General features: G+C 37.8%; 1 protein-coding gene across 7 annotated transcripts in view; it reads left to right on the forward strand.

Moving 5' to 3' along the window:
* HIPK3 (homeodomain interacting protein kinase 3) overlaps positions 1 to 12,775 on the forward strand; it is a 100,352-nt gene that overhangs the window by 70,278 nt on the left and 17,299 nt on the right. For 6 of the 7 annotated variants that reach the window (NM_001278163.2, NM_005734.5, NM_001048200.3 and 3 more), the window contains exons 3-6: positions 1,561 to 1,684; positions 10,126 to 10,245; positions 11,808 to 11,894; positions 12,401 to 12,585. In NM_001278163.2, coding sequence (NP_001265092.1) covers positions 1,561 to 1,684; positions 10,126 to 10,245; positions 11,808 to 11,894; positions 12,401 to 12,585 — 516 coding nt within the window. Of the gene's footprint in view, positions 1 to 1,560; positions 1,685 to 8,798; positions 8,818 to 10,125; positions 10,246 to 11,807; positions 11,895 to 12,400; positions 12,586 to 12,775 lie in introns of those variants that run through there. The other variant, XM_047426225.1, reaches the window with a different exon arrangement.

Genomic DNA, 12,775 nt, shown 5'->3' on the forward strand with positions numbered 1-12,775 from the left:
GGATTACAGGTGTGAGCTACCACGCCAAATCTGGGAAAATCTGAGAATCAAAATAAGTAATTATAGTCATGGATTATAACTCATTGAACAAAGTAGGAATCCTTTAATCTGTACTCATACAGGTAAATAAATGAAAAAAATGAAAGTTTGATAAGAAATGGATTATTTATATAGTTTCAATTTGAGATCCCACAAAATACTTAATTAGAAAGAGAAAAGTAGGAACTTAGTAGTAGAGAAATATAGCAGACATCATGTGATCAAAGTAAAAATTATTAGTAATGGAACATATCAGAATTGCATGCCTAATAAGATACAATGAGAAAACATGATCACTTCTGTGATGTTCCTCTGAATCTAATTATGAGGAAACATCAGACAAACCCACACTGAGGGACGTTTCTTCAAATATCTGTCCTGTAATATGTTATACAAAGGTCATGGAAATCTAGACAAAACTTAGGAATTATTCCATATTGAAAAAGACTGAAAGAGATAGGACAACTAGATGCAATGCATGATCCTGAGTTGGATCCTTTTGCCAAAAAGGACGGTATTAGTATAATTGGCCAAACTTAAATGGAGTCTGAAGCTTAGAAGGTGGAGATGTATCAGAGTTCATTTCTTGATTTTGATGATTGTATTGTGGTTATGTAGGAGAATATTCTTCTTTGTAGGAACTATAAAGTATACAGATATTTGGCAAGTTATTCTCGGGTGATTTAAGGAAAAAATATGTACTGTTCTTGCAACTTCTCTGTAAGATTGAGATTGTTTTAAAATTAAACACATGCACACTAATCTAGGATAACTGTGATCCATATGACTTCTTTGGAATTACACAGCTGTACATGGAGTCTGTCTTAGAACATGAATCTTCTCAAGGGAAATCCATATGAAGGTGCAACATAATTTATCTAGGAATAATATGTTTCTTGGAGTACATTTCCCAAATGACCAAACACTTTTAAGTGCTGAAATGCTTTTTAACTATGTTGTTATATGCTGTATACTTGTCTGCCTTTTAAGACAGAATACACTGAATTTAGTTTAATCTCTTGGATGACTAATGGCTCCAATTAGGTAAATATTTATTACTGTATTCTGAAGTAATATCTAGGTCTAGATTCACTTTTAGCCTTTGAGGATTTTGCTTTGTTTTTGTTTTCTCTCTCAATGTCTGGTTTTCAGTTCTGCTGATGTCATAGTATGTATTTAATAGTTTGCCAGTTCTCTTCCTATTGTGTTATTTCTGATCTGCTGTAGTCTTAAAAACAAGATGTATGTTTTTCCTTTTTCAAAAAATGTTATGTTAGTAAAACTATAAGGGAAAAGGATTACAGTGGAAGAGACTTTATTATAGAAATGTTGTACTCATAGTACCCCTTTCAGATTAATTCAGGATTATGTCTAGGTTTCAAAGAGTTCTGAAATAGTGAAGAGTTCCTATACATAGAATGTGATACCTCTGTCATTTTACCAACTTCCTAGAATGCCAGTTGAAATTAGGTAATTTTAGAGAAAAACCACCCTGATTTTTGTTTTAATTTTAAATTTCAGAGCTCCAGAGATTATATTGGGGTTGCCATTTTGTGAAGCCATAGACATGTGGTCATTGGGATGTGTGATTGCAGAATTATTTCTTGGATGGCCGCTCTACCCAGGAGCCTTGGAGTATGATCAGGTAACAAATAATGATAATCTAATAGAATTGGTAAAAAGTAAAGAATAATAACAGACTTACAGGAACACATGGCTGCAGGTGTACAATACACTGGAAAGTCTTTTTAACATAAAGTGGCAGAATCTGGGATCTTGTAGAATTGATTTTGAAAACTGTTTTATAATGCTGAAGTAAGTTTTCATAAAGTTACAGCCTATAGAATCTCAAAACCAGTTTTGTAAAATTATTGGGAAAATTTTATACTGTAAACATATAAAAGGTTGGATTGTGTGTCCATTTAATTAATTGTGCTTTGCTTGGGTGACAAACTTTGATGTGTGAAACGTCAGCCCCTCCCAAGGCATAAAAGCTCCTAAAAGGCGTTATAACTTTTGGTCTTAAACCAACTGCCATTATTGGTGTTTTAAATACCTCAGTAACTTGAACTCTTCTCAGTCTTTTTAGCTGTTTTGAGTGGTGCTGAAATTCTCTTTTAGCACTGTTTAATGATTCTCGGTAGAATTCAGCAAATTACCTTATTAAGCACACTTTTCATGGTAGTTTTCAGGTATATTCATTAGCCTTTCTGTACTATTAAACAGTGTTGTGTGCTAGTAGTCTTAAATATTAATACCAAGATTATTTTTTGGAGAAACTGCCATCTTATTTATTATTCTTTGAGTATCTTTGAGATAATGTACTCAACTCATTCTAATAGAAAATGCTAGTCAAAATCAACAAAGTAGTTACATTAATTTTGTCATTCTGATTAGTGAATATTTTTATTTAGATGATATTTAACTTTCAAGCAAGAAAAAATAGAAAATAGAAGAATTTAAAGCACCTATTACATAATCATGATTATAGCCTTGTATTTTAGGGCTATTTTCTCTATCAAGAGGAAAAAGAGAGGTAATTAATTTAGGTGACTTAAATGTTCCTGAGATGACTCTGTCATTTAATACTGATTATTAGATTAGATGTTATCATTGACTTTAATCTCTTGTCATCATCCATGAACCTTCCCTTTTAGGTTAGGTTTTCCATATTCTCTACCTTCCCTCCTCCATGTTCAGAATTCCACTGGGTTTCTGTAAAATTTTCCATACATCCTGTCTTCTTTCAGCTTTCTACCCAATTACTAGCTTTGATACAGATGCAAGACTACCGTCAGTTCTGAACGAGTTAGTAATTGAATCAGAGTCCCATAATCCTTTAGCTGTTGGAATACTGAGGCACCAGTAAAATGCTAGAAATACACCCTTGGCTTTGTAGATTAGCCTATGGCATGCATACCGCCCTGGAGCAGGACACCCTCTAGTGGCAATTTCAAGTTGATTTGTTATTATACTCGATTAGGACTTCACAGTTCATCTTGGACAACTGATATTAGTATTGAAAAGGACCCCAGAGATTACCCAGTAACTGCCCCCTTTTCATTTTATAAAGGAGAAAACTGAGGCCCAGAAAAATGAATTCACTTGTCAAAAGTCACAATAGTAATTTTAAAGACAAAGCCTTGACCAAAACTCAGTTTTTCTAAATTTTATAATGAATGTTTGTTTTTTTTAAACTAAACTTGGAACAGGTATTATCTGATCCAGATTGACAATGTTTTCAGGATGTATATTACCAAAGGGATTAAAAAAAGTCATTGGCCCTTGGCATATAGCATCAATAGTCTCACAGTTCAGTGGGGTTTTTTTGTCTTTGTTTGTTTTTCTTTTTTCTTTTGAGATGAAGTCTTGCTCTGTCGCCCAGGCTGGAGTGCAGTGGCGTGATCTCAGCTCACTGCAACATCCGCCTCCCGGATTCAAGCGATTCTTCTGCCTCAGCCTCCTGAGTAGCTGGGATTACAGGCACACACCACCATGCCCGGCCAATTTTTGTATTTTTAGTAGAGATGGGGTTTCACCATGTTGGCCAGGCTGGTCTCGAACTCTTGACCTTGTGATTTGCCTGCCTCAGCCTCCCAAAGTGTTGGGATTACAGGCGTGAGCCACTGTGCCCCGCCCACAGTTCAATGTTTTAAAATATTTTACAAAATACATGAATGCAAAGCAAATAAATTGTAGTGATTTTGTGGGCGTCTTTGTTTTGGCCCTAATCTGGGACTTTAAGCTCATTTTCAAGCATGGTATTTGTTATAAAGGCTTTGATAAATTTTGATAATTTTTTTTTTTTTCCCTATCAGTCTTAACTTGGTTTAGGACTTTCAAGTGCTTTTTTTTTTGCACTTGTTAAAATGTTCACATATGTTTTTCTTTTTTCTTTTTCTTTTTCTTTTTTGAGACAGGGTCTCACTCTGTCGCCCAGGCCTGAGTGCAGTGGTTCCATCTCGGCTCACTGCAACCTCCGCCTCATAGGTTCAAGCAATTTTTCCACCTCAGCCTCCTTAGTAGCTGGGACTACAGGTGTGTGCCACCATGCCTGGCTAATTTTTTATTTTTAGTAGAGATGGGGTTTCATCATATTGACGAGGCAGGTCTTAAACTCCTGATCTCAAATGATCCACCCACCTTGGCCTCCCAAAGTGTTGGGAATACAGGCAAGAGCCACTGCGCCTGGCCACATATGTTTCTCAGAACAGCTTTAGTCTGTTTATTAATGTGTTTGACTTTCATAGATTTTCCCCATCTCGCTAGATTGTGATCACCTAATGTTAGGATGTGAAAGGGCCACCAGTAGGGTATGTCTCTCTCTATTATCTGTTCCTTATTCCAGTAATCAGCTGCCTAGATATACTTGGACACCCCAACTGGGGAGTTGGTATTTTTTTTAGACAGGGTCTCAGTCTGTCATCTAGGCTGGAATGCAGTGGCATGATCATAGCTCACTGCAGTCTTGAACTACTGGGCTCGAGGAATCCTCCTACCTCAGGCTGTGCCCAGTAGCTGGGGATACAGGTGTGCACCAGCATGCCTGACTCATTTTTAATTTTTTGTAGAGATGGGGTCTCTTTCTCTATGTTGCCCAAGCTGGTCTCAAAGTCCTGGGCTTAAGCCATCCTCCCGCCTGGACCTCCAGACATGCTGGGATTACAGGTGTGAGCCACTGCACCTGGCCTGGCAGTTTTTTTCTAATTATTATTTTTTGCCTTACAGTGGCAGTGCAGTGGGCAATAGTAATATTAACTAATTAATGCTTACTGAGCTCTTTTATGTACTAGGAACTGCTGTTAACACTTTATATTAACTCATTTAATGCTCGTAACAACCCTATGAAGTACACACTACTGTTGCCTCCATTTTATAGATGTAAACTAAAGAGTTCTTAACAGTATATCATATTCTTCTTTAGAGACAGAGTCTTTCTCTGTTGCCCTGGATGGAGTGCAGTGGCAGGATCATGGTTTACTGCAAAGTTGAACTCGTGGGCTCAAGTGGTCCTCCTGCCTAGGCCTCCCAAAGTGTTGCAATAACAGGCACGAGCCACCGCGCCTGGCCAAATTATTATATTTTTAAAAGCCAAATTTGAGTCAGCAGGAAAAATATTCAAAGTATTTTAATTCTTCATTATAGGGTTTGTGTTCTAGCCCTTTAATCATATTTATCATGTCTTAAAACCTTTCCAATGCCATTTTCTCTTTGGATTTTAGATTCTGTAAGTAGACACTGACCGTGTTGAAAATTTATAATTTCATATTTTCTTGTATGTGCATTTTATTTCCGTTTATATAGACATCTATATTTAGTGTGTGTGGTTAGGGAAGATCCTACCCACCAATTGTTACAGTGCGTGAATCCCTTCCTGTCTTGATTGTAGATAAACTGTCTTATTAGTGTTCTATTTACAGGACTTATATTTACTAGGGACATATCAAAAGTATTCTAGGGAATTAAGGACTATTTTATGGATGGATGGATGGTTGAATGGATGAATGGATGGATAGACGGATGGACAATAGTTGGTAAATGTTCATTATTTCTCCAAAATGTTTGTTGGAGTTTAGATAGAATGTTATCCAGAACAACTAAGAGTCTGACTTTATATTCAAATTATATTTGGTAATTTCAAGTCTTATGTAAGAAAAATAAAGTTCACTATTTCAACTGCAGAGAAAATAAATCTTTCAAGATTTCTATTTTTGTCAGGCTATTTAGCAAAGAGACCCACACAAGCTGGCCCAAATAAGGGGACATTTATTTATATGTGTGGATGTATTAGGCCATTTGCATTGCTATAAAGGAATACCTGAGTAATTTATAAAGAAAAGAGATTTAATTGGCTCACAGTTCTGCAGGCTGTACAAGCAGGGCTCCAGCATGTGCTTCTGGTGAGGGTCTTAGGTAGCTTACAATCATGGCAGAAGGGAAGGGGAGCAGGCGTTTCACATGGTGAGAATAGGAGCAAGAGATGGGGGAGATGGGTACTACACACCTTGAAACAACCAGATCTTGAGAGAACTCACTGTTGGGGGGACAGCACCAAGCCATTCATGAGGTATCGGCCCCTATTACCCAAACACCTCCCACCAGGCCCTACCTCCAACACTGGGGATTATATTTCAACATGAGATTTGGAGGGGACAAACATTCAAACTATATCAGTGGACTATCACAAGGATCTAAGAATGGAACTATAATATGACTGGGATTTGTGAAGTATGGAATTGAAGGTGCTTTTCAAAGTAAGGCGACACGAGAGGAATTAACAGATGTTGGTAGAACTTCACTGGTACTGGACCATCAGTGTGACTTGGCTGTTCTTCAAGTGCCTTTGTCTATTCTGATCTGAGTTTCTGCTCACCTTACCTTTGATTAGGTTTCATGACCATAAAACTCCGGCTCTACCTAATAACCCTTTAGCTCATCCCCCAAGAGTCATTGGTATTTCTTAGTTCACATTTCTGACATAGTTAATCTGATTGACTTAGTTTTTTTCTAGTTGAGTTCATGAGGCCAGTTTAGAATTATGTGTCAGATTCCCATTCTTCATCCACTGGAGATGGAGGAAGGCAAATATATTTATATATTAGGGGTTCTAGATGGAACATTTTTCTCTTCAAAAGACTGGGCAGACAGTATGACAAGTAATAAACTCAGATTTTCACTGGCCACTTTTGTTTGTTTGTTTGTTTTTTGTTTTACAGAGCCATCTCAACTCCTGAGGTACATTAATTGCTCTATTCTCTTTGCTTTTTTAGCACTTTGTTTTCTTCTTCACAATGGCTTACTAGCTTAATTGCAGATTATATGCTTAAATATTTTTCTGTTCTACTGAATTGTGCTTTTGAAGATTGGCACCATATTTATCTACATGTCTTTAGCATCTAGCAAATAATAGATGCTCTGTTTGTTGAAATTGAATTGTTGATGGCTTTTCTGTCTGATGCAGCATCTAGGCACCAAACTCTTAGTACTTTTTCCTTCCATTTTTCTGTTTCCTTAAAATAAGGAAGTTAGCTACTTAGTGGGTGGGAGGTGGGGAGAAAGAACAGCACTTTAACGAAATGAAGCCAGTTTGTAATGTGGAAGTTTTCGTTGTCATTTTATATAAAATTGGGGATACAAATGTGGATAAAACAGACTGTTATTGGAAGGCACACAATCTAGTAGGGAAAACAGACATGTAAAAAATTGTAATATAGTTATAATAATTATAAATGCATGTTCTAGGTGTGATGATAGCACAGAGTAGAGTAATTACCTCTGCTTGGCATCGTCAGGGATGGCTTTATAGAGGAGAAGATTCTTGAGCTGAGTCTTGAAGAAGGAATAGTAGAAGTTTGTCTTGTGGATTTGGTGAAAGGGGGAATATGTATGTTGGATAAGTAGAAGTTCGAGAACAATATAGGAAAGAGAAACTGGCCCATGTGGTTCGACATGGTGCCAGTTGGTGCCGAAGTACCAGGAGAATATAAAAGGGCAGGGAATATATATAGTTGGAGGGCCTGTTTGCTAGGGTTAGAGGTCTGGAATTGATCCTCTAGGTCAGGGGTGTCTAGCCTTTTGGCTTCCCTGGGCCACATTGGAAGAAGAAAAATTGTCTTGGGCCACACATAAAATACACTAAAATTAATGATAGCTGATGAGCTTTAAAAAAAAAAAAATCACAAAAAAATCTCATAATGTCTTAAGAAAGTTTACAAATTTGTATTGGACCTCATGCAGCCCCTGGGCCGGGACTTCTGGTTGGACAAGCTTGCTCTAGGCAGTAAAGGGTTATTAAGTAATTTTACACAAGTGACTAACAGATGCACATTTTGCCAGAATGTTTGGCAGTAGTGTGAATAATGAATTGGGCGTGAGCGGCTAAGGACATTAGGAGAGACTGGAGGCAGGTAGAATAATCAGGAGGCTTGTGAAATTGTATAACTCAGAATTGAAGAGGATCTGAGGTAGGGATGGAGAGGAGGGGACAGTTGTGAAAAATGTTAATGAAGTAAAATTGTTAGGCTTTTGGATATTGGGGGAGCATGATGAGGAAGAGGTACAGGGCATCAATTTCAGGTTTCTGATTTGAGTGGATGGTGTTGCTATTAACCATAGGAGGAAAATACATTAGGATTAGCAGATCTGGGGGCAAATCAGTTTAGGATATATTCAGTTGGAGATATAGAGTCCAGCCAGGTTGAAAGTTTCAATAAGCGGTTGGGCCTGGAGCTCCAGAGCTAGAGCCAAAGATTGAGGCGCAGATTTAGAGATAAAATTGTGGGCACTTAGGACTTGTAGAGGGAAAAAAGAAAGACAAGACTCTGGAAAGCAGTGTCATATAAAGAACAAACAGAGGAACAGAGTTAAAGACTGTCAGGAAGTAGAAGAGACCCAGAAAAGCATGGCGTCGTGGAAATTGAGCGATTTTTATGTAAAATGGTAGTAGCCATTAGTATCAAAGTAAAATAAGGATTTATATGTGATTATTAAACATGTCTGTTACTAACAGGCCATTACTTATCTTAATACCATATCATGAGGGTGATGAGACTAAAATTCAGATTGCAGTGTGTTGAGGTGTGAATGGGAAGTGAAATAATATAGGCTACTATTTTAAGGGTAAGACGAGAGAGTTAAGTAGTTAAGGGAGGTTTACTTTTTTTTTTTAGGATAGAAGATATTGAACATTTTTGTATTTGGTGGGGAGAGAGCTCAGAGGGAGGAAGAAATAGAAGATGCAGAAGAGGATGGACTAATTGATGGAGCAGAGTCTTTGAGGTTAAAAAAACATCTTTGCACTTATTCTCAAATACAGGTTAGGGGAGTCAAGTTTTAGTAAGAAGGAAGGATGGAAAAACAATTTTAGCCCCCAGAGATCTCTCTCTTTGCTAAGCCCCTGTTTATCCCCCGTGTTTCCCACTCATTAAGTGGGGGAATCAATATTTCAGGGCCTACTGTGTACCATGCACTTTCATGGGCTCTGGGGGTATATAAGTAAACAAAAAAATTCTTCCGTTCATGGAACTTAGAGTCTCATGGAGAGGTAAGAAAATGGAAAGTAAATGCATAGAATATTAGATAATGAAAAGCGCAGTGGAGAAAAATATAGCCAGGAGGATGGTGGGTGAGTTACTGAGAAGGGCAGAGTTTGCCGTTATTTATTGATGGGTCATGGAAGGCCTGGTCAATAAGGCAACATTTGAACCAAGAGCTGAAGGAAGCAAGAGAGCCATACAGATATCTAGGGGAAGAATGTTTCAAACAGAAATATTAAGTTCAGAAGCCCTGAAGCTGGAGTTTTTTAGTATCACCCTTGGGAGAGCCCATCAACTACCATGCCTCTTCCCCAAGAGACACAGCTGTGTATATATCAGTGTCTCAAAAAAGTGTTTCCTCCAAACTCCCACCATAGTAATTCACCCAGTGTTTATCAATCTAAATCTCTTTTGAATCCATTCCTTCCTCTCTATTCCCATTCAGTCTCTCAGTTCAGACCCTCTTCATCTCTTCTCTGGCCTTATCCCTTCACCCATTGTCAGACATTTCTTTAAAATGTAAGCTGTCAATTTCTTGCTGAAATTTTTCCAGTGGTTTCCCATTATTACCTCCTGGCATATAATCCAAATTTCTTAATTTGCTGATAAAGCCCTTTACCTGCTAGTTCAATTTCATCTCTTACCATTCTCTGTTAGTGACCCTCTGTACTTCCAGTCTTTGAATGTGAGGTTATTCTCTCTTGATTTTCTATATTTACACATACTATAACCTTGGCATAGTTTTTCTCCCCACTCTTTCAGTGCAAACTCCTATTTGTCCTTTAACACCAAACTTGAGGACCACCTCTTCTAGAATTTTACCTGACCACAATTACTTTAGGTATGCCTTTTCTATCAAGCGTGCATTTATTATGATACTTATAATTCCACATTATAATTTTTTCCATATATGTTCTCCACTAGACAGTGCATTTCTTGAGGGCATAGACTATGTATTTTCATACCTGACCTAACATATAGCCTAGTGTCTGACTTAAGTGTTCTGTCACATGAAAGAATAAACTATTCTGTTCTGTAAATTATTTTTCAGATTCGATACATTTCTCAGACTCAAGGTTTGCCAGGAGAACAGTTGTTAAATGTGGGTACTAAATCCACAAGATTTTTTTGCAAAGAAACAGATATGTCTCATTCTGGTTGGAGATTAAAGGTAATTCATTAAAAAATAGAATATTTAGAAGACTAGTTTTCTAAGATGCCTCATATGCATGGATAATACCTTCCATGTCTATTTACATTTTACTATATTTCTTCCTTTTTTTGAATTTTCATTTTTGGCCCTTCTTTATTTTATTTTATTTTTTTCAATTTTTTTAGTTTTTATTTTTTGAGATGGAGTTTCTCTCTCTCGCCCAGGCTGGAGTGCAGTGGCGCCATCTTGGCTCACTGCAACCTCCGCCTCCTGGGTTCAACCAATTCGCCTGCCTCAGCCTCCCAAGTAGCTGGGACTACAGGCTTGCACCACCATGCCCGGCTAATTTTTATATTTTTGGTAGAGGCAGGGTTTCACCATGTTGGCCAGGCTGGTCTTGAACTCCTGACCTCAAGAGAACTGCCCACCTCCGCCTCCCAACGTGCTAGGATTACAGGCGTGATCCACCATGCCTGGCCCCGTCCTTCTCTCTCTCTTTCTCTTTTTCTTTTTTTGAGACAAAGTCTTGCTCTCTTGCCCAGGCTGGAGCGCAGTGGTGTAATCTCGGCTCACTGCAACCTCCACCTCCCAGGTTCAAGCGATTCTCCTGCCTTAGCCTCCCAAGTAGCTGGGATTACAGGTGCCTGCCACCATGCCTGGCTAATTTTTGTATTTTTAGTAGAGACAGGGTTTCACCATGTTGGCCAGGCTGGTCTTGAACTCCTGACCTTGTGATCCGCCTGCCTTGGCCTCCCAAAGTGCTGGGATTACAGGTGTGAGCCACTGTGCCCAGCCCCCTTCCTTCTTTAAGAAGAAAGCCCTCTTGGAATAACTTCACTAACTCTCTAATTCAGCAACATAATTATTAATTCATCTTAAATTAAAAAAACTTTTATGTGTATAACTACATTTGTGTTGTGTGTTTATCTTCTCAGTTCTACATTATTACACTTTATAGGACAGGGAATGAATCTAACCACTTACTACATATCCCAAGTGTGCTAGGATCTTTGGAGGAATCAGTAAATCCTCAATAATTAACTTCATAAACAGTTATTATTATTATTGTATTTTTTGAGACAGAGTCTTACTCTGTTGCAAGGCTGGAGTGCAGTGGCGCGATCTTGGTTCACTGCAACCTCCGCCTCCCAGGTTCAAGTGATTCTCCTGCCTCAGCCTCCCAAGTAGCTGGGACTACAGGCATGCGCCACCACACGCAGCTGATTTTTGTATTTTTAGTAGAGACGGGGTTTCACCATGTTGACCAGGATGGTCTCGATCTCTTGACCTCGTGATCCACCCGCCTTGGCCTCCCAAAGTGCTGGGATTACAAGCGTGAGCCGCCGTGCCCGGCCTAGTTATTTTCTTTATGGGGTTTGTTACATTTGTAATATTTTTCTTGGCCTAAACCAAGCACTTCTCATTTTTTTTTTGCGTATACTTTAAAAAATACATTTTTGATAGTGTCTCTTTTGAAATTACTATTTGCCTTAGAATATTTAATATATTAGACTAAATGTGCCAGGATTAAAGAAATTTGTAATAATGTATTCTTTTTTCCCTTTGATATATGCAATAAGACATTGGAAGAGCATGAGGCAGAGACAGGAATGAAGTCTAAAGAAGCCAGAAAATACATTTTCAACAGTCTGGATGATGTAGCGCATGTGAGTACCATAGCCACATTTGTTCATCTTACATGCTTAGATGGTAGACTTGAATGCCAAGGGGCCCAAAACATGTTACTCAGTTTTTAAATGGCTACAGAGTCCATGCTGTTTTTAAGTTTTTCAAATGAAACTGATTCTATTTTCAACCTTTCAGGAACTAAATTGCATTTGTCGTTATCAAAATTTTAATTTACCTATTCGTTCTTTAGTAAAAAAGTTTTTGCTTTGAAAGGAAAAATCCTAGCCAACAGATTTCCCTATATTTCATTAGAAATGGATATTTGTTTAATTTTTAAAAACTTCTTTTATGCTTTGAATCCTATTTGGTACCTCAACACATTTTGAGGATTTGTTAATATTATTTGTTCTTCTTTGTTTTAAGATAATTGTAGTTCCCTCTCCTCTCCTGTGTTGTGATTTTTGTTTTATTTTTTAACGGTGGAATTTATACTACTCTCTGTGACTTATTTTTACTTGATGGCTTGAAATTTTGATTTTCTTAGGTGAACACAGTGATGGATTTGGAAGGAAGTGATCTTTTGGCTGAGAAAGCTGATAGAAGAGAATTTGTTAGTCTGTTGAAGAAAATGTTGCTGATTGATGCAGATTTAAGAATTACTCCAGCTGAGACCCTGAACCATCCTTTTGTTAATATGAAACATCTTCTAGATTTCCCTCATAGCAACCAGTATGTTACTTTAAGATCTTTTAAAGTGGTTCTAAAAAAAAATAAGTCTGTAGAAAATGACTGCATCAGAGAAATTACTTTTCTTCATTAAACACAAGTAACCTGAGTCAAAAGAGGCTAAGCTAACTTGACCAAGTTCACATACACCAGTAAGTGTCAGGGAACTAGAACCCAAGTCTGAATTGCAGTC

This window comes from Homo sapiens, chromosome 11, assembly GCF_000001405.40.
Source record: "Homo sapiens chromosome 11, GRCh38.p14 Primary Assembly".
NCBI lineage: Eukaryota > Metazoa > Chordata > Mammalia > Primates > Hominidae > Homo > Homo sapiens.